The sequence below is a fragment of the Homo sapiens genome, chromosome 8, assembly GCF_000001405.40.
Source record: "Homo sapiens chromosome 8, GRCh38.p14 Primary Assembly".
Lineage (NCBI taxonomy): Eukaryota > Metazoa > Chordata > Mammalia > Primates > Hominidae > Homo > Homo sapiens.
The window spans coordinates 140,323,212-140,350,981 of NC_000008.11; the positions used below are offsets into that span (position 1 = coordinate 140,323,212).

Sequence of the window (27,770 nt, forward strand, 5' to 3'; positions counted from 1 at the left end):
GTACACCTGGAGAGGCATGACAGCTCTGAGCCCGTTCTCCCACACCTCGCCCTGGGCATCTCTTCATCTGTATCCTTTGTAATATCCTTTACAATAAACCAGTAAACATAAGTGTTTCCTTCAGTTTTGAGAGTTGCTCTAGCAAATTACTCAAACCCAAGGAGGAGGCGGTAGAATCTCTGATTCACAGACAGTCAATCAGAAACAGAGGTCATAACCTGGGGCCCTCTAAGGGTATCTGAAAGGGTGGCGGGGAACCGTCTCATGGAACTGGACTCTCAATCTGTGGGATCCAACACTATCTTCAGATAGACGGTATCAGAAGTAAATTAGAGGACACCCAGCTGGTATCTGTTGGAAAACTGACTGACTGGTTATTAAGGGGAAGAAATCCTTAAACACATTTTGGCAACCAGAGGTCACAGAAATTTTCTGTGTTGGTTGTCATGTTGAGAGAACAGAAAAAACACTTTGAGTGTGTTTTTCCACAGAACAAAATATATTTTATTCTCCCAAATAAAGGCATAAAAGGAGAAAAAAGAAGAGGAAAAAAACAGATATGACAAACAGAAAACAAATACAAGATGGTAGACTTGAACCCATCCACACAAAACTCGATAAAAAACCCAAGATCCAACTATATATACTTTATACTCTCAGGAAACAAACTTTTTTAAAAAATATATTTTTTTTTATTTGCATAGGTTTTCGGGGAACAGGTGGTGTTTGGTTACATAAATCAGTTCTTTAGTGGTAATTTCTGAGATGTTGGTGCACCCATTACCCTAGCGATATACGCTGTACCCAATTTGTAGTATTTTATCCCTCACCCCCTCCCACCCTTTCCCCGGAGTCCCCAAAGTCCGTTGTATCATTCTTTTGCCTTGCATCCTTACAGCTTAGATCCCACTTACGAGTGAGAACATACGATGTTTGATTTTCAGGAAACAACCTTTAAATATGAAGACACAGACTGAAAATAAAAGGATGGGGGGGAAAAGATATACCACACGAACACAAGTAATAAGCATAATAAACCTGGTGTGGCAACATTAATATCAGACAAAGGGGATTTCAGTGTAAGCAAAGGGATGAATGGACACATTTCAAAATGAAAAAGGCAATTCATCAAGGAGATACAATACTAAATTTGTATGTACTTAATAACAGAGCTTTACAATACATGAAGTAAAACCTGATAGAAATAAGAACAGAAAGATTCATGATTTTTTTAAAGTTGGAGGCTTTAACAACCCTTTGTTAAAATAAATAAAAGAGGCCAAGCATCGTGGCTCACATCTGTAATCCCGGCACTTTGGGAGGCCAAGGCAGGAGGATTGCTTGAGCCCAGAAGTTCGAGACCAGCCTGGGCAATATGGTGAGCCCTGTTTCTACAAAAAATAAGAAAATTAGGCGGGCATGGTAGTACGTGCCCATGGGCCCAACTACTCAGGAGGCTGAGGCTGGAAAATCACTTGAGCCCAGGAAGCAGAGACTGCAGTAAGCCACGATCGTGCCACTGCACTCCAGCCTGAGCAACAGAGGGACACCCTGTCTCAAAAATAAATAAGTGAAATTTAAAAACTTTTTAAGTAAAAGAATAGACAACAATGATAAGGAAGATTTAAACAAACTATTAAATAACTTCTTCAACTGACATTCATACAACACTATACCCCTCAACTGCAGAATATAAGTTCCTTTCAAGTACTCACGGAAAATCCACCAAGACAGACCAAATGCCACACCATAAAACACATCTCAATACATTTTAAAAGACTGAAATCACACAGAATATGTTCTGACCATTACAGTATTAAAACAGAAATCAATAACAATACCATTTCCACAACGGCTGCAAATACCTGAAAAGTAAGCAATGCATACACACGTCAAAAATAAAAACAAAAGCGAAATGTTAAAAATATTTCCAGCTGAATGGTAATAAAAACACAACAGGTCAATATTTGTGAGATGTACCTGAAGCAGTGCTTAGAGGGAAATTTATAGCCTTAAATGTTCATATTAGAAAAAAACAAAGGTCCCAAACCAATATCTAAGTCTGCACTGTAGAAGCTAGAAAAAGACATAAAATTAAATATAAAGTTGAAAGAAAATAACTAATGAAATAGGAAACAGGAAACAATAAAGAAAATCAACAAAGTCAATGGTTCTTTGAAAACAAATGATAAACCCCTAGAAGAGAAACACAGATCATCTATATCAGGAATAAAAAGGAGGCAGATCCTACGCTCATTAAGAGGATAATAAGGGAACAGTATAAACAACCATATGCCTATACATTTGACAAATGTGGTGAAATAGACAAACTCCTTGGGGGTAAAATGACACAAGAAAAAATTGACAATCTTAATAGTCCTGTATTTATTAAAGAAGTTGAATCTGTAATCCAAACTCCCACAAAAATTTCCATCCCAGATGGCTTCACTCGTAAGTTCTGTCAAACATTTAAAGAAGAAATAATATCAATCTCATACAAACTCTTTCAGAAAACAAAGGAGCGAATACTTCCCAACTTGTGTTATGAAGCCAGCACAACCCTGACACCAAAACCTGACAAATAACTAAAAGAATAAACTTAGACAGTAAAAGTAGCATGGAGTCTTCAGCAGTCTCACAGAACTAAAGAGATAAACAGCAGCATTCAGGATCCACTGAGGAAGAGAGACCCCCCCAAAAACACCATGAGTTCTCAGCTGGCACCCCCAAAGCACTATACAATAAGAGTACACCGAAGCCTTTTAAAAACTGCAATTTGTATATCTTTATTAAAGAAGCTGATATACAAATGGATACACAAATGGAAATATACAAATGGAAATCTGATATACAAATGGAAATCCGGGTAGTTTCTAAGAAGTCGGGGGTTACTGGCCAGGCGCAGTGGCTCATGCCTGTAATCCCAGCACTTTGGGAGGCCGAGGCGGGCGGATCATGAGATCAGGAGATCGAGACCATCCTGGCTAACACAGTGAAACCCCGTCTCTACTAAAAAAAAAAAAAAAAAGAAGAAGAAGTTGGGGGTTACTGCAGGGAAGGCACCTAAAGACCTGTGCAGTCATTACTTTTTGGGGAACCTTCCCTGGTGACTCTGCCTTGTGCTCCGCTCTGTCATATTTGGATTTGGTGATGCAGAGGCAGGCCACATAGTGCACAGGTAGCCTATGTGCCTCATAAGTAGCAGTGATCTAGAAATGCTTTACATCCCCCCACCATGATCAAAGGACCCGCTTTGCCTGCCACCACCTACAATGCTCTGCAACCATGACCAGTGATTCCTGACATACTAATGTCTCAACAACTTATTTTCCCCCTTCACTCAGACAAACATCATCAATGATGACTTTAAGATGTACATTATGGCCAGGTGTGATGGCTCACGCCTGTAATCCCTGCACTTTGGGAAGCCAAGGCAGAAGGATCACTTGAGCTCAGGAGTTCAAAACCAGTCTGAGCAACACGAGACTTTGTCTCTAATAAAATTCAAAAAAAAAATAAATTAGCTGGGCGTAATGGCATGTGCCTGTAGTCCTAGCTACTCTGAGGGCTGAGGTGGGAGGATCACTTGAGCCCAGGAGGTCAAGGCTGCAGTGAGTCCTGATTGTGCCACTGAACTCCAGCCTTGGTGACAGAGCGAGACCCTGTCTCAAAAAAATAAAATAAAATGTATATTACTTATTTTCTCTTTTGGTCACAAAAAAGAAACATGACATAGTGATGCAAAAAACAATCATCCAGGCCGGGCGCGGTGGCTCATGCCTGTAATCCCAGCACTCTGGGAGGCTGAGGTGAGCGGATCACCTGAGGTCAGGAGTTCCAAGACCAGCCTGACCAATATGGTGAAACCCCGTCTCTACTAAAAATACAAAAATTAACAGGGCATGGTGGTGTGAGCCTGTTGTCCCAGCTACTCGGGAGACTGAGACAGGAGAATTGCTTGAACCTGGGAGGCGGAGGTTGCAGTGAGCTGAGATCACGCCACTGCACTCCAGCCTGGGCGACAGGACATCTAAAAAAAAAGACAAGACAAGACACGACAAGACAAGAATCATCTGACCCTCATGCACTGCTGGAAGGAATGTAAAATAGTACATCTGCTGTGCCAAACAGTTTGGCAGTTCCTCAAAAAGTTAAGCATAGAATTACCATATGATCCAGCAATTCCACTCCCACTACATATATACCAAAAACCATTGAAAATAGATACTTAAACAGATACTTGCAGACCAATGTGCATAGCAGCAGCATTCACAATGGCCAAAAGGTAGAAACAAGCCAAATGTCCATTGACTGATGAACAGATAAACAAAATGTAGTCTATCCCTACAATGGAATATTGTTCAGCCCTAAAAAGGAATGAAATTTTGATAAATGCTATCATACAGATAAACCTTAAAACATGCTAATTGAAATAAGTCAGACACAAAAGAACAAATATTGTATGACTCCACTTATATGAGGTACCTAAAATAGGCAAATTCATCAAGAGGAAAAGTAGAATGATGGTTGCCAGGAGGATCAGAGGAGTGAGAATGAGAATTATTGTGTAATGCGTACAGAGATTCTGTTTGGAGTGACGAAAAAGTTCTAGAAATGGAGGGCGGTGATGGTTGCATCACACTGTGAATGTATGTACTCAATACCACTGAATTTTACGCTTAAAACAGTTAAAAGGGTACATTTTGTGTTGTGTATATCTTACCACAGTTTTCAAAATCAATGTAAAAATAATTTAAAATTGGCCGGGCGCGGTGGCTCACGCCTGTAATCCCAGCACTTTGGGAGGCTAAGGCAGGTGCATCACCTGAGGTCAAGAGTTTGAGACCAGCCTGGCCAACATGGTGAAACCCCATCTCTACTAAAAATACAAAAATTAGCTGGGCATTGTGGTGGGTGCCTATAATCCCAACTACTCAAGAGGCTCAGACAGAAGAATCGCTTGAAGCCAGGGAGCGGAGGTTGCAGTAAGCCGAGATCATGCCACTTCACTCCAGCCTGGGCGAAAGAGCGAAAGTCCGTCTCAAAAACAAAATTAATTAATTAATTAATTAATAACAATAATTTAAAATAAAACAGTATCACTTACAAGCTCAAAAAAAGGAAAATACTTAGGTAGAAATCTAACAAAATACGTACATGATCAATCGTTGAGGCATGGTTATGTGTCAGATGTGGTGTAAGGTCCTGGAGCTTTACATAAAAAGCAACCTGGATGAGACTGGAAACTATCATTCCAAGTGAGTAACTCAAGAATGTAAAATCAAACATCATATGTTCTCACTCCTAAGTGGGAGCTAAGCTATGAGGATGCAAAGGCACAAGAATGATACAATGGACTTTGGGGACTCAGGGGGAAAGGGTGGGAGCAGGTGAAGGATAAAAGGCTACAAACTGGGTTCAGTGTATACTGCTCAGGTCTCAGAAATCACCACTAAAGAACTTACTCAGGTAACCAAATACCACCTGTTCCCCAACAACCTATGGAAATAATTTTTTTTTTAATTTTAAAAAAAGGTCCTGGAGCTTTAGAGATGCTTAGCTATGACCAAGGAGGCCACAGTCTAATTAGCATAGTTATAATTTACGAATTAGGGTGAAAGGATTTGATGCTCGATTGGACACAGAAACTGAAGGAGGTAGAGACAAGACTGGCACTGAGGGTGACGGCTTTGGGGACCGGGTGGAGGAGAGCCACTGGCCGAGACAGAAGCCCAAGGTCAGAGGAAGGGCAGGGCAAGCTCGTCGGAAGACAGCAGCTCCAGCAGGTTGAGTCTAAAGCACCGGAGGGTGGAGAGACCCAGACTAGGGTAACTAGGAAAGTATACCGGGCACAAGCGGACCCCTGAGCACCATGAACATCAGCAGAGGTAACACTCCCAGGTAGAATGTGAAGGTGACAAAGAAAAACAGAGGGCCCAAGGATGACATCCTGGGGAACACAGAGGTGAGGGGCAGTGAGAAACACATCTGGAAAGAATGCTAGAGGTTCGAGATGAGACTCAAGAGGCCAAAAGGTGAGATCTTCTGGAAAGAAAAGAAATGGGGGTGGATATGAGAGAAACATCTGTTGGGATCACCATACGTGAGAGTTAAGTGGTCATTTGTGACCTTCAAAAAAACTTTCATCCATGCAGGAACCCAGCAGCAACAAATTAAAAATGGGACAGGAGCAGACAAAGCGATGGCTCGTCTCCTAGGGAGCACATGGCATTTCAAGCACACACGACAACGGTCTGGAAGTCAAGTGCTGCATTAGAGGCTCACCTGCATTGCCTTACTTAATATTTACATTTATCCAGTGAGTCAAATATTATCATTAGCCCCACTGTAGGGAAGAGAAAAGTGAAAATCAGAGATATTATAAATCTTTTCAAAGGCCACACTGCTAGTAAGTGAGGCTGAGATTTTAACCCCAGGCTTCTTGAATCTATTGCTCTTTCTACCATATTAAGCAACCTCCTCGGCATTTTTGTGCTCATTTCGGAATCTAAGGCTTGGAAAGGTCATGTTACTTTCCTGGGGTTATTAAGGTAATAAGAAGCTAAATTATATTCAAACTCAATACCGGCCAGGCATGGTGGCTCACACCTGTAATCATACTTTGGGAGGCCAAGGCGGGCAGATCACCTGAGGTCAGGAGTTTGAGACCAGCGTGGCCAATGTGGTGAAACCCCGTCTCTACTAAAAAAATACAAAAATTACCCAGGTGCTGGTGGGCACCTGTAATTCCAGCTAACTCAGGAGGCTGAGGCAGGAGAATCACTTGAACCTGGGAGGCAGAAGTTGCAGGGAGCCGAGATTGCGCCATTGCACTCCAGCCTGGGCAACAAGAGCGAAACTCAGTCTCAAAACAAAACAAAACACCTCAATGCTATATGTTCACGCTTTTTGCTTTCTTCAGTTTGTCACTTTGCCACCGAGATTGCCCCAAAATGTGACTGATATCCTGAAACTGCCACTCCAACATGTCCAGCAAGTTAAGCATCTTACAGAGCAAGAGAAATCAACTCAGCTTTTCTTCATTCTGCATATACATCCAGGTAGCATAATGGTCTACCTAGAAAGGCTGAAAAAGTCACATGCCACCACTATAAATATTAATGATATGACAAACCAGGAGATATGGAAGAAGATCTGTCATGTAACAAGAAAACAAGGCATTTCCTTAACAGAGTGTGGATTAACTTAGATAAATTTGCAGTGAGCCACATTAACTGCCTCCTGTCAATAATTTTTCATATTTGCTAGTCACTTAATTTTCAGAGTGACCAGTTGGAGGCCCTGATGAACAATCATTCAAGTGCACCAAAAGACTGAATATTTTTCCTTGTTCCTTTCAGGTTTATAAACATGTTCTACCAAAATGAAAGGTAATTGTGTTAAACCATCAGGTCACTATAAAAACATCTATTTCAAGCACTGCCTAGAAAAATTTTTAACATCTCTAGAGATCTTAACATAATGCCCAGAAGAAGAAATTATATTAAGAAGAAAGACCTGTACTACCCAGAGCAATCTACAAATTCAAATTACTTTCTTGGGGCTATTCATGTAATAAATTGCTAGATTACATTCAAACTCAAAGCTTTAAGTTCAAACTTTCTGCTTTTTTCATTTTGTCACGCTGCCCACCCAGACTGCCCCAAAATGAAAAAATGCAAAGAAAACACAGATATCCTAGAACTAATCCCTATCAAAATACCAGTGATGTTTTTGACAGAAATAGAAAAACAAATCCTAAAATTCATATGGAACCTTAAAAATCCTCAAATAGCTAAGGCAATCCTGAGCAAAAAATAACAAAGCAGGAGGCATCACATTACCTGACTTCAAAATATACTACAAAGCTATAGTAAGCAAAACATCATGGTACTGGCATAAAAACAGACTTGTAGACCAATTAAAAAAAAAAAAAGAACCCAGATATAAACCCATGTTTTCACAGTCAAATAATTTTCATCAAAGTTGTCAAGAGCATCCACTGGGAAAAAGACAATCTCTTCAATAAATGGTGCTGGGAAAACTGGATATAAGTATGCAGAAGAATGAAACTAGACCTCTATGTGCCACTATATACAAAAATTGACTCAAAAGGGATTGAAGACTTAAATGTAAAAACCAAAACTACAAATCTAATAGAAGAAAAACATAGGGAAAACACTTCAGGTCATTGGTCTAAGCAAAGATTTTATGGATAAGGACTCAAAAGCACAGGCCAATAAAAACAGAAATAGATAAATGAGATTATATCAAACTAAAAAACCTCTGCACAGCAAAGGAAACATCACAGTGAACAACAATCTGCAGAATGAGAGAAAATATTTGCAAACTATTCATCCAACAAGGGACCAATGTCCAGAATATAAAGGAACTCAACAGCAAAAAATCATCATCATCATCATCATCATCACCACCCCATGAAAAAGCAGGCAAAAGACGTGAATAGACATTTCTCGAAAGAAGACATACAAAATGGCTAACAGGTATATGAAACAATGCTCATCACTAATCATCAGGGAAATGCAAATCAAAACCACAGTGAGAGATCATCTCACCCCAGCAAGAATGGCTGTGATCAAAAAGACAAAGGATAACAAATACAGGAGGGTGCAGAGAAAGGGGAACTCTTAGGTGCTGTTGATAGGAATGTAAATTAGTACTGTTATGATGGAAAACAGTTTGAAGGTTCCTCAAAGAACTAAAAATAGAACTATCACATGATCCAGCAATCCCACTGCTGGGATTTCCAAAGGAAAAGAAATCAGGATGTCAAAGAGATACCTGCACTCCCATGTCTACCGCAGCACTAAGTCACAGTAGCCAAGATATGGAATCAACCCAAGTGACCATCAATAGAGGACTAGATAAGGAAAATGTGCTATATATACACCGTGGAATGTGATTCAGCCATAAAAAAAGAATGAAATTCTGTGATTCACTATGACATGGTTGAACCTAATGTCCTAAAGGGCATTATGTTAAGTAAAATAAGCCAGGCACAGAAAGGCAAATACCACATGTTCTCTCTCATATGTGGAAGCTAAACAAGTTGATCTCATAAGGAGAGAGTAGAGGCTGGGAAGGGTTGGGGGAAGGAAGGATAGGGAGAGGTTGGTCAACAGAGACAAAATTACAGCTAGACAGAAAGAATAAATTCAAGTGTCCTATAGCACTGTAGGGTGACTAAAAGTAACAACAATTTTTTGTGTATTTTCAGTTGGCTAGAAGAGAGGATTCTAAATGTTCCCAACACAAAGAAATGATAAATGTTTGAAGATGGATTTGCAAAGTACCCTGAATTGATCATTACACATGATATACGTGTATCAAAACATTACACAGTACCACATAAACATATACAATTACTGTATCAATTAAAAATACTAAAATAAAAAATTTTAAAGTTTTAAAAAAATAAAGATAATAAATTATTAGAATCTGCACATCTAACTATGAAGCAATGGTTAGATAAACTATGGTACAGCAGCATAATGCAAATTTATGCAAACATTAAAAATGACATTTATAAAGACTGCAACAATATGGAAAATGTTATGTCACATGGAAAATCAGGATACAGAATTATATTTACAAAATAAATTCGATGTAAGGAATTAACCCGCCTGGGCACAGTGGCTCAAACCTGTAATCCCAGAACTTTGGGAGGCCAGGTGGGAGGATCACGAGTTCAAGACCAGCCTGGTCAACATCGTGAAACCCCCAACTCTACTAAAAATACGAAAATTAGCCGGACACAGTGGCACATGCCAGTAGTCCCAGCTACTCCAGAGACTGAGGCAAGAGAATCACTTGAACCCGGGAGGCAGAGGTTGCAGTGAGCCGAGATCATACCACTTCACCCAAGCCTGGGCTAAAAAGCGAGACTTTGTCTCAAAAAAAAAAAAGAGAAAAAGAAAAGAATGAAAAGAAAGAAAGCAATTAACCCAATTTTTAAAATAACAGAAAACAATACAAAAGAAATACACTAAAATGTTAACAGGGCTTGCCTATATAGGATTATGCATAATTTTTTCCTGTTTATGTTTTCCAAGATTTCTAAAGGAAGCATATATTACTTGTATAATAAAAACTATATATATGTAGATAGCTAGATATAGATATAGATGTAGATATAGATATAGATACATAGGTTTTTGTTTTGTTTGTTGTTGTTGTTGAGACGGAGTCTCACTCTTGTCGCCCAGGCTGGAGTGCAATGGTGCGATCTCAGCTCGTTGCAACCTCCGCCTCCCAGATTCAAGCTTCTCCTGCCTCAGCCTCCTCAGTAGCTGGGATTACAGGCACCCACCACCATGCCCAGCTAATTTTTATACTTTTAGTAAAGACGGGATTTTGCAATGTTGGCCAGGCTGGTCTCAAACTCCTGACCTCAGGTGATCCACCCGCCTCAGCTTCCCAAAGTGCTGGGATTACAGGCGTAAGCCACCGCGCCTGGCCATAAAAACTATATTTTAAATGCTCAAAATTGAATTTTCAAAAAGGTTTTACAACGAAAAATCAGGGTTTGTTTATAAATGCCCCATGAGTGAAGAACATAGTATCATAAAATGTCAATGGCATAAGAAAACTTTGAACTTCCTTCATTTCCACAAAGGTGGAAGTTTAAAGTAAGGGAATTTATAGCCCTTCCCAGTGTAACACAGATGTTTTACAAACAACAGCTGCATTGATAACTGACATTTAATGAGGTCTTACTACATGCCAAGCACTAGTCCAAGCACTTTACATATGCCTTACTAAATGATTCCCAAAACCTTACCAAAAAAGTGCCATTGTTTACAGATGAGAGAAATTGAAGCTTAGAAAGAACTCACCCCCATTCAGTTCAGTGTGCCTTCTACTTCTCCACCACAATCTCTCATGTGTAATATGCTCAGCCATCTCCCTTTATTCTAAAACTATTTCATATTTCACTTCATATTCATTTGACAAACAAATCTTGAATATCCACCCTCTATAAGGAAGAAGCCTATCTTAAATCGCTCAACTGGAGTCCCACATCTTCAAGCACAACAGCAAAATCTCGTAATTCCTTTGTCTGCCTGGTGGAGTCTCAATTGATACATTTTAGGAAATAATTTGAGAAAGGCAATGTGAAATTAAATCAGTTCCATGGCTCGGCAAGGTGGCTCACGCCTATAATCCCAGCACTTTGGGAGGCCAAGGCAGGAGGATCACTTGAGGTCAGGAGTTCGACACTAGCCTAGCCAACGTGGTGAAACCCCATCTCTACTAAAAATACAAAAATTAGCCAGGCGTGGTGGCACATGCCTGTAATCCCAGCTACTCGGGAGGCTGAGGCAGGAGAATCGCTTGAACCCGGGAGGTGGAGGTTGCAGTGAGCCGAGATCGTGCCATTGTACCACAGCTTGGGCGACAGAGCGAGACTCTGTCACTAAATAAATAAATAAATAAATAAATAAATAAATAAATAAGTTCCACATGTATTGACTACTTTCTAGTAGCATTGCCCAAAATGATAAAAGATAAAAGGTGAACAGACATGATCCCTGTCCCCAAGGAGTCTGTAATCTAGTGAGGGAATCGGATAGGTAAATTATTCTGAAGGTATAATAAAATGATGCTGAATTGAGAACTAAGCAAGATAATAAGGAGGTGCAGAGGAATAAATTAATTTCTTAATAACAGGAAACAGGGAAAGTACAAGAACAGAGCATGCTACAATAGAAGCAGCATGAAAAACCATGTGATACACTTAAAAAGCAAAAAATGTTCAGTGTATCTGAAGTATAGGTTACATGGATAGAAAAAGTATGCAATGAGCCTAGAAAGATGGTTTGACTCAAATCGTGAATGTCCTTGAGAAAGATGGTTTGAATCAAATCGTGAATGTCCTTGAGAAAGAGTTGAGACTTTACTAGATAGACAAAGGGTAGACACTGCAGATTCTTAAGGAAGAGAATGTGATTTAGCTTGCATTCTAAGGAGGTAACTCCGGCCGCAATGTGACGCACAGGCTGGAAGGAGCAAAGCCAGGGAACAGGACCATGATGTCAAGAGTCTACTGCACTATTCCAAGTATAGGTGTTGAGAGTCTGAACCACAGTCATGACCACGATGGGAAGAGGGGAAATCCCCACATGAGAGAAACTCAGGCATTAGAATGGGCATTCCAGGCAATTAATAGGATACAGGATAAGTATGACAACTTGGGGATGACTGACAAAGTTTTAAGCTTCCCACACTAAGAAAATGCCAACACCCTTAACTCAAACGGGAAACATAGAAGGAAAAGAGAATGAATTCAGCTGAGGATATGGTAACCGCAGGATCCTATGAGACATTCAGGAGACAAATCCAGCCTTCATTGGGAAACTGAAGTTCAGAGGTCAGGAGTGGAAATATAACCATGTGAAATCATGAGCAAATTTTTGTTATATTTTGAATATATCAAGAGCTTCACTCTTAAGTCCCATCATAAGTCTTCACAATTTTTTTTTTTTTTTTTTTGAGACAGGGTCTCGCTTTGTCACCCAGGCTGGAGTGCAGTGGCGTGATCCCAGCTCACCAAAACCTCCACCTCCTGGGTTCAAGCGATTCTCCCGCTTTAGCCTCCCGAGTAGCTGGGATTACAGGCTCCCGCCACCATGTCTGGCCAGTTTTTGTATTTTCAGTAGATCCAGGGATTTCGCCATGTTGACCAGGCTGGTCTCAAACTCCTGACCTCAAGTGGTAGGCCCGCCTTGGCCCCACAAAGTGCTGGGATTACAGGTGCAAGCCACCGCACCTGGCCAACAATATTTTTTAACTTTATAATCTCAATGACTCACTGTGTAATTCCTTATTTTTAAGAACCTTTTTTTTTCACAACTCAAATTATTACTTTTGATGTATAACTAACTTCATAATTTTTGAAACCAAAATTTCTTTTCCATCTGCTCAGTTTTCTCCCCCATGATGAAGCATACTTGTGTGTCACGTCCCTGAGGTCACGGGACTTAACAATTACAGTAAAAGCCCCTTGTTTATTTATGACATAATGATCACAGTTACAACAACAAAAGATTTTGTTCAACAGATATTCCTACTGTGTATAGTCTGTGGCTGCAAGCCAGCCGAGATTCCCAACCCTGGCTTGCCTCTGTCTGCACCACGCTCTGCTCTGCGGCAAATGAGAGACAGCTGATGTGAACAGGGAGGCAAAGAAAGGCAACACCAAAACTGAGGGCCACTGGAAATATGTAGAAAATGCACCACTTCTTTCATTTCCTGCCCTTCCCCAGCCCCAAGAAACACAGTAAAATGAGGCGAGGTCCATCTCACTAAGATCAAGGCCCCAGTAACGCACACCCTCATCCAAACCAAGTCCCTGTCTACTCTGACACTGATGGATGGCAAACTTTTAACACATTTTCTTTGGGCTGAGTAGCAAAATAATGAGCAAGCAACAAAATGAAGGGGTAGCTGAATAAATTACATTCTGACATTTTCTATCTCATCCAATCCTTGTCTTTCAAACAAATGACAACTGTATCTAAGTTGATAGATAACCTCCTTGGTACAGAAACAAACTAATGGAAGTCATCAGTGTTGAAAGTCTAACCAGGGCCGTGACGATGGAAGGAAGAAGACGAATTCCACATGTGATAAACTCAAGCATTAGAATGAGTCTTCCAGGCGATTAACAGGATATGGGGTAAGACAATTTAAGGATGACTCCAAAAGCTGTAAGCTTCCAAAACTTAGAAAACAGCAACACCCTTGACTGGTGTCTGATGCTGGCTGGTACAGTCTTTAGTGGGTGCAGCCCCTTGTCAGTGTCGGACACTGAGATCCAACAACCACTGAGTAAGTGTCCTTAGCTGGCTGCAGGTGACCCAGGATGTGGGGTCAGGCATGTGCTCCAGAGCCAGGCGCCCGGAACTGTAATCCCAGCTCGCACACGCAGCCGCGGAAGCCCACCATGCCTTACTGCCTCCTCCTCGTAATCTCAGCCTGCAATGATCCCTCTAACCATGATGATCAGAGGAGTTCACACACATGAAGGCACATGTTACACCAGGCCCAGCACACAAGAGGTGTGTGACAACTCCTGTCACACACTCTCACAGGACCCAGAAACAGACTGCAGGCAAAGGCTGGTCACTGTTCCTCTACATCCAGAAGGTGCTGCATTTGAGGAAAGATAAAACAGGAAGAACATTCTAAGAAGATAAATACTGGCTGGGTGAGTGAGAAAATTAATTAATCAAGCTTGAGCAGGCCAGGACTGTGACATATGAGCCACAGACAGAGAGGATCAGGACTTGTCAATCCAGAAAGCAGAGATAGAGAACAAGGTCACCGGCAAGAGAGAGAACAAACGGACTGCGACTCATCCAGATGCGCCTCCCTCCGGCTCTGCCATGCAGCACGTGGGTGCGGGTACCGGATCCACCTGCCCTGAACCTGCTGCCTCCCCCACCAAAATGGGCTGCCTAGGTGTCAGATGGGCACGTGATCAGCGGTGCTGTGAGAGTGGCTGTGGGAACAGAGGGAGGTGGAGCCAAGGCTTAGGAGGGCAGTTAATAATAACTGAGAGGGCTGCGAGATGAACCCTCAGGCCCTCAGGGCTGTGCACAAACAGCCAAGCAAGCACCACGGGCCGGGCACCCTGTTGCCTGGTGCAGGTGTTCTGGAGGGGCCTTCCAGAACAGGCTGGACCCCAGTGGACTGAGCAGAGAGTCTTCTCCCCTGCAAAACGGGGTTGTCTGACAGTCAGTCCAGGAGGAGATAAATCCTGAACGTTCTAAAGAGGGCCTCCGTATTTTATTTTATACCAAGGAATATGCCATTTCTTCCCCTAAAACAGATCCCTGCCACTTAGAAGTTGCTAAAAAAAATTATTAATTTGAATTAAACTCAATGTCTTTTTTTAAATGACAGCCAGAAAAGTCTTATTTTTCTCTCTCAGATCACCGAAGTGGACACCAGCAAGACTGGGTGGCTGCATGGGCCAAATAACTGTATTCTGTCCCCACGCCATACGTATAAGCAAAGCCCACAAATATGGACCAGTGGGCAAAGGAGGCACAGGGGAGGTCTTCAGCTGACATTTCATATGTGTCCGCTCCATTACCACTTCCAAAAGAGCAACACAAGCATATAATGTACTGTCAGTCACTGTGGCCTCCTTTGCAGGTCATAAAAATTAATTGAGTGGATAGCGACCAGCGTCCCTTAGGATGGGACAGGACAGACGAGACCATGGTGCATGGTACAGGTTGAATCGTGTCCCCTCCCCGCAAAATTCGTATATTGAAGTCCTAACCCCCAGCACCTCAGAATGTGACCGTGTGTGGAGACAGGTTCTTCAAAGAGATAATGGAGGTAAAATGAGTTTTGCTGGGGTGAACCCTAAGCTAATATGACTGGCGTCCTTATAACGAGAGGGGATTAGGACACAGGCACAGAGGAAAGACCATGTGGAGACCTGTCAAGAAGACGGCCACCTACAGGCCGACGGGAAACGGCTCAGAGAAAACCACCGCCACCAGACGGCCACCTACAGGCCGACAGGAAACGGCTCAGAGAAAACCAACGCCACCAGACGGCCACCTACAGGCCGACAGGAAACGGCTCAGAGAAAACCACCGCCACCAGACAGCCACCTACAGGCCGACGGGAAACGGCTCAGAGAAAACCACCGCCACCAGACGGCCACCTACAGGCCGACGGGAAACGGCTCAGAGAAAACCACCGCCACCAGACGGCCACCTACAGGCCGACGGGAAACGGCTCAGAGAAAACCAACGCCACCAGACGGCCACCTACAGGCCGACGGGAAACGGCTCAGAGAAAACCACCGCCACCAGACGGCCACCTACAGGCCGACGGGAAACGGCTCAGAGAAAACCAACGCCACCAGACGGCCACCTACAGGCCAGAGAAAAGGCCTCAAAACAAGCCAGCACCACCAACACCTGCATTTCAGATCTCTGGCCTTACAGCCACCTACAGGCCAAAGAGAAAGGCTTCAAACCAGCACCGCCAACATCTGCATTTCAGATCTCTGGCCTTTGGGGCCAGAATAACAAATTTGCAGTATGTGAAACATATGGCAAGATTAATTTTTACAGTATCTAATAATTATTCTCTGTCACTTCACATTGAAGTGACAGAAAATACTAATCGGCTTGAAATTATCAATCAAATCTGAGATTCAGTATCTAATACAGAGATCTTTGACAAGTGAATGAACATATATGAGTGCTTATTTAATCCAATTCCTACACTTTTTATAAAGGAGAAAACTGAGGGCCAGGGAGAAGAGAAGTTCACACGTGGAAAGGCTAAGGATAAAGTCTCACCTCCCAACTCCTCATCTGGTCCTTTGTCCAAACAAACAAACGAGGCCGAACCCTGAGGAAGACCCATAGTCCTTGTGCATCCAGCCTGCATGCCCTTTTCCAGTTCGTTCCAGTTTCCAGATCCAATACTGCGTATGAAACCCTACCACTTCACTATGGCTTCAATTCAATCATCAGAAATTCTGCTTATCTTATTCTCACATGGTCCTGATACAGAGATGCCTACATTTTCATCACTGAAGTCACACTTAGCATTAAGTACCTGCAACATACCACTGAGATAAACTTTTTTTTTTGAGACTGAGTTTTGCTCTTGTTGCCAAGGCTAGAGTGCAGTGGTGCAATCTCAGCTCACTACAACCTCCACCTCCCAGGTTCAAGTGATTCTCCTGTCTCAGCCTCCCAAGTAGCTGGAATTACAGGCGTGGTGCACCACCACACGCAGCTAATTTTTTGTATTTCATAGAGATAGGGAGTTTCACCATGTTGGCCACGCTGGTCTCGAACTCCTGACCTCAGGTGATCCACCCACCTCAGCCTCCCAAAGTACTGGGATTTACAGGCATGAGCCACTGCACCCAGCCAAGATAAACATTTTTTAAACTAAATTGGTCAGTTAAAGATTAGAGTCAGAGTCAGACACAGTCAAAAATAAAGGCTCCCCCATCTGTTCCCACCTGGCTGAGAAACAATCTTTGGGTAACAATCACCTGCAGAGAAACAATCTTTTGGTAACTTTAGCTCGTTACTCTGTTGCTAAAACTTTCAATAATACCCACTGAAAGCCTAACATTTCACCAGAGAGATAGAAACTTTTCTTTCTAACTTAGAGACCTAAGTAAAAATATGTAGGTCTCTTAAGTTAGAAAGAACTGTACAGCCTCACCCGGGAAACTGCCCACCTGCCTAGTGGGTGAAGTAAGCAAACACACCAGCACTGTTGAAATCCCACTGTGGCAGGCACAATGCCAGGCAGCTGACACATTCTTTCTGATAAATCCTCCACCTAACTAGGCACAATCTTCTTATTTTTGCAGTTGAAAAACAGGCTTGGTAAAGTCAGTAAATTGTCAAAGGTCACATTTGATAAAGTACATGAGCCAGGATACAAACCCAGCTCTGCCTGACTTTAAAGATCACAGCCCCTACTGTCCTCTGCTGAATTAAAGCATCATCGTCCCCTTCCTACACATGCAGTAGCCCAGGCCCAGGGGCAGTCAGCATCTTCCCCAAGGCCACTCAAATACCCATGAATGATATGCATACCTCATCAAAATAGAAAACTGTGAGACTCTTTAAGAGCAGCATATGCTGAAACACTCTTTGGAAGTCACGAACAAATCCACGTAACCAACAACAATTACTATATATTGAGCACAGGTTCTCAATTGAGAACAGGTTGAGAACAGGTTCTTTATATACACTGTTTCTAATCCTTATGACAGCACAGGAAGATAGGTATTCATCCTCATGTTACTGAGGAGGAAACAACAGCAGAGGAAAAAAAGGCAACTGGGCTTATTAAGCATTTATTGAGCCTCTATGATTAGGCTGGGATTAAAAACACAAAAAGACTACATTCCAGCTGTCCCACCTCACACCTCAGTCCACAGACATGAAAACTAAAAATTAATACATATGAAATATAAAAATTAATGTGTAGGCCCTGAAAAAGCCAGCTCCACAGGATGAATCCATCCTGAGTGGCTAACGGGACCTACATTCAAGTTAGACTCAAGCAGCCATCTGTTGACTAGAGGTCACACACAGACCTTGAGTTCCTGGAAAACCCACGTGTCTGCTTAACTTAGGGGCCTACATAGCTGCCTGTTCCCATTCATGCCATCAATAGACTGTGACCTGCAACAACCAATCAGAACTCAGCAAGTCTGAAACCTTCAAGTACATAAGTGAACCTGAGTGGGAACCTGGGCGGGAACTTTCTCTGTAAAAGACAAACCTTTCTTTTGTTCTCTGGAATGGATAGCTTCAGTTTGCATCAAAGGCTGTTCTCCTCAGTTTGTAAACTATTCCCCAGAATAAAGTCTCCCCTCTAAAGTCCTTTTCAGAGAACTCATGTTCACAAATGTGATAAGCATTGTTATATACGCATGGGAAAAAAAAAAAAAAACTTTGGGAAGAAAAAAATTTTCTTCTACCAAAAGGTGTCAAGGAAAGGGGCTGGAGGGAAGCACGGAGCACGGGAAGGGGGGCTAGTGCTCCATTCTGGGTAGTGAAAAGCCAGAAGAAACTCACAGTACGTGTGTGTAGAGCCTCTGCTCTGGGCACAGCAGCTAAGTCTCTCTCCCAAGCTAAGGAGGCGGCCTGGGCCAGACTGAAAGAGCAGTGCACAATGTGTGGGGCCTTTGGCCTCTGACACTATTTCAGCAGAAGATTGCTGCAGATAAACACCTGCTTTAGAAAGAAAGATCACTTTATCATAGGGGTGGAGGACAGGAAAGAAAGGGCGGATCTGGAAGGCAGGAGGTCCCTCAGGATGAGTTGCCATATTCCGGACCAGAAGTGGCAGAGTCCAGGCTGAGTAATGGTGTCTTGGCACTCTGTGCAGCAGATGGTGGGCGGGCAAACGGAAAGCAGGACTGCACTGCACTGCTGGGGAGAGGACACCACCTGGAGCCACGTTGTCCCACAGAGACAAGATCCTTCGTGACATTGCAGAAGGTCCCTTTCGATACCACCCTGGGATGTTCTATTTTGGTTCACCTAAAACCTGGCAAATTAGTATTTTCCTATAACTAGTATATCCACTAATATATTTGGGATTTTGAAGTACTGATAGTTTTTCTTCACCTCACTATTTTACATGTGTGGTTTCTCTACCAAGCAGGCATTTTATTAGCAGGTACTTATTATGTTGTACTACATGATATTTATCTCTTCAACATACAACTAAAAGTACATCAAAAGCTTCCCTTCATTTCTGCTGGGGTTTTATTCAATCCCTTCTCTCTAGTTCTGAACAAACAAAAGGGATTGCATAAATTGCAATGGAAACAAATTATACCCCTTTACTGACAAACTCCCACTGGGATTCCTTGTAACACAGCAATGCAGATGCATACCTTCTCCCCAGCCCAGTGAAAAATGAAATATAGCAAATCGAAGGTCCAAAGAAACCACATAAGCCATCTGGAGAAAAAAATGCAAGGGGGAAAAACGCATGTCAGGAATGAAAAATAGGAAATATATATACATATATCCTTGGCAATACAAAAAATCATGTCATTCATTTTTGGCCAGAGTTCGTATTTTAGCTCTTTATGCTCTGCTATATGAAGCTAAGGGACAAAAACTCAAATGTGAAGTCTGCATACTTCACAATGGGAACAAAATACAATATAGGACATCAACATACGACACGTAGGGCTTTCAACCCGAACCCCGTATATTTTAGTCTGTTAATCTATACAATGGGAAGCTTGCGATCACTATGGCCAAATTCTAGCAAAATTCCAAAATCCAGCAAAAATAACACATTATTGTTTTAATACTATTTTAGAATTTACTGAAATTCAAAAAATATAAAGGACATATATTAAAATATCCAAGATGATAAAAGATGACCAGAAAAGCACATCACAATTGAAAACTCCTCATAAGTGAAAAGCCAGCATGGGGTAGGAAATGGAGGGGTGGCTCTGGCCCTGTGTGGTCCTGAGCCCAGCAGTGCTGGGCTGCGGCCTCAACCCTCACTCTCCAAGGATGACTGCTGGGCTGAAGCCCATGGCATGCATATCAGCCTCGGCATTTTTCTTTTCATTAAAAGTGTTTCACTAAATCTTTAACCAAAGGTGATACAGTGTTTTGCATTACTTTTCAAACATATAAGTTTACAAGCCATGAGAAATCTCACTGGGCCACGTCGTGAATCTGACTTGGGAAATACTGCCACCCACAGAGGCAGGGCCGCGAAAGGACGCAGAATTCCTCTAGGGGTGACAAGGCAGCAAAGGTGACTCTGCACATTTCACTTCCTAACCAGTCAAACGATAAGTGAGGAGGGGAAAGAAGGGAGGCTGGTTTTCAGAAACAGACAAAGACCCACAGAAGCCCTTAGTTAAAAATACCCCACTAGTAATTTCCACTTGTCAAAGCCTGTGTCTCAGACCTGGCACACACCTCCTGTCCTGGCCTCCCCGGGGTCCCTGCAAAGCACAGATTCCTGGGTCCTGGACCAGGGATTCTGACTTGATAGGAATGGGGCCCTGGAACTGGCATTGTAAATTCTGAAGATTTTCTTTAAAAATAAAAGCATTGTCCCTGAGAACTAAGTCTTACTTGCACAAAATAACCAAATCCACACCCAGCTGAGTGTGGAGGGCAGAGGGAGAGAGGAACTAACAGCTGTCTGAGCTTCCCAAGCCGAGACAGAGTGGAGGGAACGGTGGAAATGGAACCAGCTTTAATCCTCACACACACCCTGTTATGGTCTGAACGTCTGTGTCCCCCCAAATTCACGTTATACCCTAACTCCCAAGGTGATGGGATTAAGAGACAGGGCCTTTGTGGGGGCGATCAGGGCATGTGAGTAGAGTTCTCATGATAGGAGGAGTTCCCTTGTAAAGGAGATCCCAGAGAGCTCCCTCGCCCCTTCCAGCATGTCTCTGAGCCAGGAAGTGGCCCTCACAGGACACAAATCTGCTGGCACCCTGGTCTTGAACTTCCAGCCCCCCGAGCTGTGAGAGGTAAATGTCCCTTATTTATAAGCCACCTAGTCTGCAGTATTTTGTTAAAGCAACCAGTAAAGATGCACCCCAGGAGGTGGGTCCTTCTTGTGCCCCTTTTCCAAATGGGGAAAATGAGGTGGGGAGAAGTTACATGACTTTCCCCTGCTGCACGGGGAGTCAACAGACATTTGCTGAGCCCCTGTCACACAGTGCTCCAAGCCACAGAGACTGCGCAGGACGGTGGCACGCCTGCCCTCAAGGAGCCTCCATCTAGCAAGGAGGGAGACTGATGGTAGCGCCAGGCAGAGAAGGGTGGGCGTTTGGCTCAGAACTGAGGTGCACAGAAATGGCAGCCATGCCAAGACCCAGGGGGAAGCTGTTCATGCAGAAAAAAACAAGTGCAAGGTCCCGGACAAGAGCCAGAAATCAAGTTTGTTTTCTCAGAGACACAGAAACAAGACAAACCTGGCTGGTGCTGAGTGAATGTGCAGAAGACTGGAGAGAGGTGAGCAAGGAGAACTGAGGAGAAACATCAGGTGGACCTGGGAGGCCTCCAAAAATAACCCGGCTTTCCCTCCACTTCCTGATACGTGTCCTGGGAGCCACCAGGGAGGTTGAAGCAGAAAGGTGCTATGGCGTGAAGCCGTGGTCATATCTGGGATGTGCTGAGGCAGTGAAGCCTCCAGGACTTCCTGATGTACTAGACGTGGGGCCTGACGGCGGGGAAGCCACGACAGCGTCAAGGTTTCTGCCCAAGCAGTGGGGCGGGCAGGGGCACCCTGCGCCCTGTGCTGAGAGGGAAGCGAAGGCAGGGTGGGCGGGTCGACAGTCAGGCCTGCAGCACCCCAGAAGGAAGAAGTACAGGCACCATGAATGCAAAGACCATTCCTGAAGCCCCAGGGCCAGGTGAGATCCCCCAGCAGAACATGCAGAAGTGGGAGAGCAGGCAGGGTTGAGGAGGTCCTCTGTGTGGGTGGTGAAGCCACCAGGAACAGAGATGGGGTGGAGGTGCTGAGGACAGAGCAGGCCAGGTACTGAGTGAGGAGAAGTAGCCAGTGCACCTGGCAATGACCACAACACAAGGAAAGGCAGGAGCCATCAATCCTAATGGTACACCCTCCCAAAGAGCTGGAGTGTTCTGAGGAGGACTGCTTGGAAGTAGCAACGGAAAATGATGCCCGTCCCATCTCTGGGCCCTGAGGTCCTGGGGGCAGAGGAGAAAAACCAGCATGCATTTGAGAGAACAGCAGGGCAGGCAGGCCAAAAAAAGGGCTGGTTCTCATCTCCTCGGATTGCTAGGATGGCATTGTGAGTGGGACAGATATGTATTGGCCGGCACTGGGCTATACTTGCATTTCACTTCCCTGTCCCTTCCGACTAAATGCTGGCGACAGGCCCCAGTCACAGTTATGCCAGAAACACTCCCACACATTTCCAAACTTCCCTGCTGAAGAGCCACTCACTCCATATGAGAAGGTTAAGGGAACACTCGGGGAGGAAGAGGATGAGGAAATGCAGGAGTCAGCTACCAAAAGACCTCAGGTTCCTGCAGTCACCACGGAAGGGGTCACGGGAGCAGGAAGGGATGGGAAACGGGGCTGGGGTGGAGACTCCTGGAGATGGACCACCTGGGGCCTGGGCCGCTGACAGAATGGAGAGGCACAGAGATGTGGCCACCGTGGACATCCGGGGAGACCGAGAGACAGCAGCTGAAGACCCAGGGAAGGCTGGACACAGCCCTGGGGTTGGGGCAGATGCAAGGGGACAACCCAAAGGGGCTTACGGGACTGGAAGAGTTAAGGAAACAAACACATCCTAGTGTTCAAAGCCAGCTCTGCCACCTCCAAATCCATACTCAGACATGCAAGGTAGGATGGCACCAAATAGAAACCGAGCCTTCGACCTAAGGAAGCTGAAACACGTGAAACTGCCTGGAGTGCATCGGCTGGGGAGGGTGAGGGTGTGGGAAGCAGCAGCCAACCTCGGCTTCTCCCAGTTGCTCCATCTCCCCAGCCAGTTTCTCCAGGTCATCCCCAAAGGAACTGCGTGCCCCTCACACTGCTGGGATTACGCACAGTACCCAACTTACGCGAGATGATCCACAAATACCTGCAGAAAGGATGTAAAGGGAGCGGCTGCTCCTGTGCAGATTTTCCAGCTCCTCCTTGTCCCTTATTATCCGAACAGTACTCCTAGAACCCGTCAAACACATCCTTTGGAGTCCTGAGGGTCTACTAAAATTAAATGCTCAGCTCAAACACCACAATTTTACATGCAAAAACCAAGATTTTTAAAGGAGTTAGTTACTTTATTTTTTCTTATGCTTTTCACTGTCCAATTCACTCTCATTCAGAAAGCCTCACATAATATCAGATCAATATTTTTCTATCCAAGATGGGAAGAGGGAGGAGGAGAATTATTAGTATCCCTGTCTAACCCATCTAACTACACCTGTAAGGATGGACTTGCCAAAGAGAAAACAAAACAAAAAGTTGTTTCAGGTGTTAAAATTTCAATCAAATATCAAATATGCTAGAGAGAGATGCAAAGAAAATGAATGATTTTTCTTGATGGGGATTTATCTCCTGCTTCCTAAAAGTGGACTTGAGATTCACACCAGAAATTAAAATCGTCACCACTGTGTCCACTCGGCTGAGTTGGAATGACACTTCCCAGCCCCTCGCTGTGAAGCTGAGTCAGCACATGGAGTGATGTCTGAGGCAGAGGCACGGGGTAGCATCGGTTCCGGGGCCCAGGGCAGGACACACACCCACACTGGTGGACTGGGCAGCATCCCACCCATAGCTCCTCTGCTCCTCCAGCTCTGGGCCAGGCACGCATGTTTAGCACGGCCGCAAAGGGCACCAGCCTCTCCTCCAGGAGCCCCCACCATTAGAGCGGGAGGCTGGGAGGTGGTGAGAAGCTGACATGGGCTCCAGGCCATCCCCATGGGGTCCAGCTCAGCCCCACAGTTCCTAGCTTGTCCTTGCTTCCCTCCCTTCACATCCGCCTTCCCTTCCCAGCCACCTGCCTGCCTCAGGCCTTCTGGATCCAGCAGCAGACACCGAAACGATGCTTCACAGGCCTGGGTAGCCAGCTCCCACAGCACGTAGCCCAATCCCCTATAAGAAATCCTATCTATGTGTGCATATGTATGGACATGTGCACTGACAAAGACTCTCCTTGACCAAACTTCAGACAAGCTCCTGTGAGTCCTCTTTCCAACGAGGCCTCATCCTTCAGCCCTGTCCTCAGCCTGCCTAGCCCAGTTTCAACAAGAATCCCGGGAAGTCATCCTGGGCCTCCCTGTTAGGCAAGTTTAGCAAGAATCCCCTACACTTAATGTCTCTCCTCTTAGTAATTTTCCATCCACTGACCCCCTCACTCTGCTCATTGGCTATAAAGCCCCACTTGGCCTTGTTGTATTCAGAGCTGAGTTCAATCTCTCCTCTGTTGCAATAGAGTTGACTCCTACTGTAGTAGTCTTAAATAAAATTCTCCTTACCATTTTAACAAGTGTCGGAATAATTTCTCTTTGATGGTGTACATGTATGTCTCTAGAACTGTTATGAATACAGTGATTTTTATAGCTGTCTCATAATTTTCCAGGTGGTACTTCTTCCTTTTCCATAAGTCCTCTGGTCAAAGGCTGTTTTGAAATTGTTCCAGGTTCAATGTTCAATGGGTGTCTTTTCCTTCAAAGAAACATAAACATATATCATCACCCCACCACCAGGGACCAGGAGCACTGGGCTGAGAAGAATTTGCCATCGGCAACTCCAGCAGCTCTAAGAAGGGCATTCACTCAGATGACAACTGAACAAAAATGTCAGTCAAAGGTGCCATGGCAAGTGTTTCCCCCTTTCCGAGGCGCTGGGACGCCAGGGGTCCTGCTGTTCTGCCACTCACAGCTGACTGGATAACTGGGTGACTGTGGGCAGACCACTTCATTCACATCACAAAGCACGATGGCAGGACACCATCTGCCCCATCAAATCCCAACTAAGTTTCAGTGATAGTCAAATGAGCAGGAGGGAGGAAGCAATCAGAAGACTGGAAAAGAACTTCACATAAAAGAGATACAACAAACAAACCTGCAGAAAAAATCCAACCTTGCAAGTCACCAAGAAAACGCAAATTAGAAGAGTAAGGCAGCGTTCTGCACACACTCAATTAGCAGCCCTGCTGCTGGCTGCATCCAGCAGTGTCTCAACAGCAATCACAACGCTCAAAAAGGCTGACCCAGGAAGCCCCCTCCTGATGAAAACTCTCTCCTGCTAAAAAAAAAGCCAAAGACCTAAAGATGTTCACCACAGTGTTATCAACAGTACCAAAAACAACCTGAAAAGCAAGCAAGAAAGGGAACAAAAAAAAGCATGTATTATTAATGCATTCAACTATAGGTGACTGCCAACATGTGCCTCTAGCTAGCTGTAGGGTGTGGGGCTTCCTTTGGAGGTGATAAAAATGTTCTAAAACTGACTGTGGTGATAGGTGCACATATCTGTGAACATGCCAAAAAGCTGAAGTGTACATTTTAAATGGCATCTAAAGGCATGAGGCCGAGGGGAATCACCAGACACTGGGAGCAAAGAGACAAGCGGAGGCAGAACCAAGCCCTGACGCAAGCGCCCAGCACACGGGAATCAGAAGTGGGGAAGTTCCAGGATGAGCTGGGAAAAGGAAGAAAGCACCGTGTAGAGGAAGCACTGGACTGAGAGAACACTGTTGACAGACAGAAAAAGAGGACAGGAAATGACTCCTGCTTTGGAAACTGGTGACCTTGGCAAGGGAGAGGAGAGGGACGTCCGGCAGAGGGGGCTGAAGGGGGGCGTGCGAGGGAAGGGCAAGCGGGGGGGCTGAAGACGGCGCACGAGGGAAGGGAAGGGCACACAGCGGGGGCCGATGGGGGCGCACGAAGGAAGGACACACCAGGGGGCCGAAGGAGGCGGGCGAGGGAAGGGCACAGAAGGGGGCCGAAGGGGGCACACGACGGAAGGGCACAGAGGGGGGCCGATGGGGGCGCACGAAGGAAGGGCACACCAGGGGGCTGAAGGAGGCACGCAAGGAGAGGGCACACAAGGGGGCCGAAGGGGGCGCGCGAGGGAAGGGCGCGCGAGGGAAGGGCACACAGCGGGGCCGATGGGGGCGCGCGAGGGAAGGGCACACAGCGGGGCCGATGGGGGCGCGCGAGGGAAGGGCACACAGGGGGGCCGAAGGGGGCGCGCGAGGGAAGGCAGACGACCCTGGCAGAGGTTCCGCTTCAGAGCGGAAGGTTGCTTGGCTTGGCTGGGCTGAGCTGAGCTGCACATCGTGGTAACTACGGCATGTCTGCACACAGGGAAGCCAGTGGGGTGGGAGAGAGGGAGGCGGCAGGAGGGAGCGGGGAACACGGAGTGGGCAGGAGGGCATGAGCGCTTGTGCCATGGGCTTTGCGGCCCTTCCGCAACATTCCAATGAGACACCAGGCCTGGCGAAGTCAACATCCGCCCCCTTCCAGCAGTGCCCCTTAAAGCATGGCACTGCACCAAGAATAGGGGCGGGAATTGGGGAAGGTGAAGAAGACCTGATGAGGGTAACGGGCTGCCACCACGTCCAGGTAGCCCGGCAACGGTAGCACAGGGTGTCAGGCTGCAGAAGCCACCTCTGCCCAGCAATGCCTCTCTCACTCAGCTACACGGTCAGCAGATGATTTACATCCTCTAAGTGAGTAACCAAGCCTTGCTCTGATTAAGTAATCCTTCCCTTAACTCCCTTTTCTAAAAACGTCTTCACAATCATCTAACATAACTGGTTCCCTCTGCCACAAAGTCAAGAAGCACCTTTTGAGGGAACAGTGGGATCTGCGGCAGCCTTGGTTAGGAAGACGCGCCTTTCCAGCAAACATGCCCACTAAGGTTTAGAAGCAGAGATGCTGAATTCTGCTCTGAAAATAACATTTTCTGAAGCAACAAACTTTGCTTTCTTTCAAAATAATTGCAGTGATTATTTTTGGTCTCCTGTATTCAGCGACGTCTGCTGCCACTTCCACCCTCCATCAAGGTGACTTTGATAGAGACAAGCAGCCCATGACAAGATGAGTGACCTGCAAGGTGCAATCACCAGTGGCCACCCCAGGCAAGTCCCATTAGCAAACCAGATGGGGAAGTGACATTTAGACTTCTCCTAAACAGCCATCGCAATGTGACAGGGACAGTGGCAAAGCGGTGTGCAGGTAAATATCAAAGGGAGGCTGTCCATCCATTTAACAGTATTTCTTCACACCTACTGTGTTCCAGGCCGTCCCAGGACAAGGCAGATGGGGTCTGCTAGCCTCTCACGTTAAGACTGGGAAACGCAAAGCGGCGGGTATGATGCAGAAGAGCCGGGGGTCACGGTGGTCTCCTGGAGAAGACGGCACTGGAGGTGAGCCCTCATGCAGAAGCGCACCGTTCAAGATCGCCCAGGAACAGGCATGTGGGGCTCTGGGGTGGAAAAGTCTTGGCACGTAAGCATTAATTAAGGAAGCCAAAGGAACTGGAACCGGGAGCAGACGAGAAAGTAAGGGACAAGGTGGGAGAGAGGGCAGGGCCGGGGGCAGAACCTGCAGGCCACACTGAGTCCTGGGTTTTATTACAGGAGCAACAAAACAGGATCTGATTTGCAATTTAAACAGTAACTGTGAGGGGTGTCCGGAGAATGAAGCAATGGGAGGCTGGAGTGGAGCAAGGGAGAGGGGCAGGAGGCTCCA

General features: G+C 45.1%; 1 protein-coding gene across 18 annotated transcripts in view, besides 3 other annotated features; it reads right to left on the reverse strand.

Moving 5' to 3' along the window:
* TRAPPC9 (trafficking protein particle complex subunit 9) overlaps positions 1-27,770 on the reverse strand; it is a 730,855-nt gene that overhangs the window by 595,487 nt on the left and 107,598 nt on the right. Inside the window, exon 1 of one of the 18 annotated variants that reach the window (XM_011517330.3) lies at positions 24,546-24,713. The exons of the other annotated variants lie outside the window; for them this stretch is intronic. The gene's annotated coding sequence lies outside the window, so the exon portion shown is untranslated. Of the gene's footprint in view, positions 1-24,545; positions 24,714-27,770 lie in introns of those variants that run through there. 18 annotated transcript variants of the gene reach the window in all.
* Positions 8,214-9,088: an enhancer, noted in NCBI's record as "OCT4-NANOG hESC enhancer chr8:141341524-141342398 (GRCh37/hg19 assembly coordinates)". NCBI's record gives its function as "activates a minimal SCP1, AML or CMV promoter by ChIP-STARR-seq in naive and primed H9 embryonic stem cells {active_cell/tissue: H9 hESC(naive and primed)}" and the evidence as "EXISTENCE:reporter gene assay evidence [ECO:0000049][PMID:30033119]".
* Positions 20,159-20,453: an enhancer, noted in NCBI's record as "tiled region #993; HepG2 Activating non-DNase unmatched - State 13:Ctcf, and K562 Activating DNase unmatched - State 5:Enh". NCBI's record gives its function as "activates a minimal TATA promoter and a strong SV40 promoter by Sharpr-MPRA in HepG2 and K562 cells {active_cell/tissue: HepG2 | K562}" and the evidence as "EXISTENCE:reporter gene assay evidence [ECO:0000049][PMID:27701403]".
* Positions 22,487-22,708: a silencer, noted in NCBI's record as "fragment chr8:141355797-141356018 (GRCh37/hg19 assembly coordinates)". NCBI's record gives its function as "represses an EF-1alpha promoter that drives an FKBP-Casp9 reporter gene in an ReSE screen in K562 erythroleukemia cells {active_cell/tissue: K562}" and the evidence as "EXISTENCE:reporter gene assay evidence [ECO:0000049][PMID:32094911]".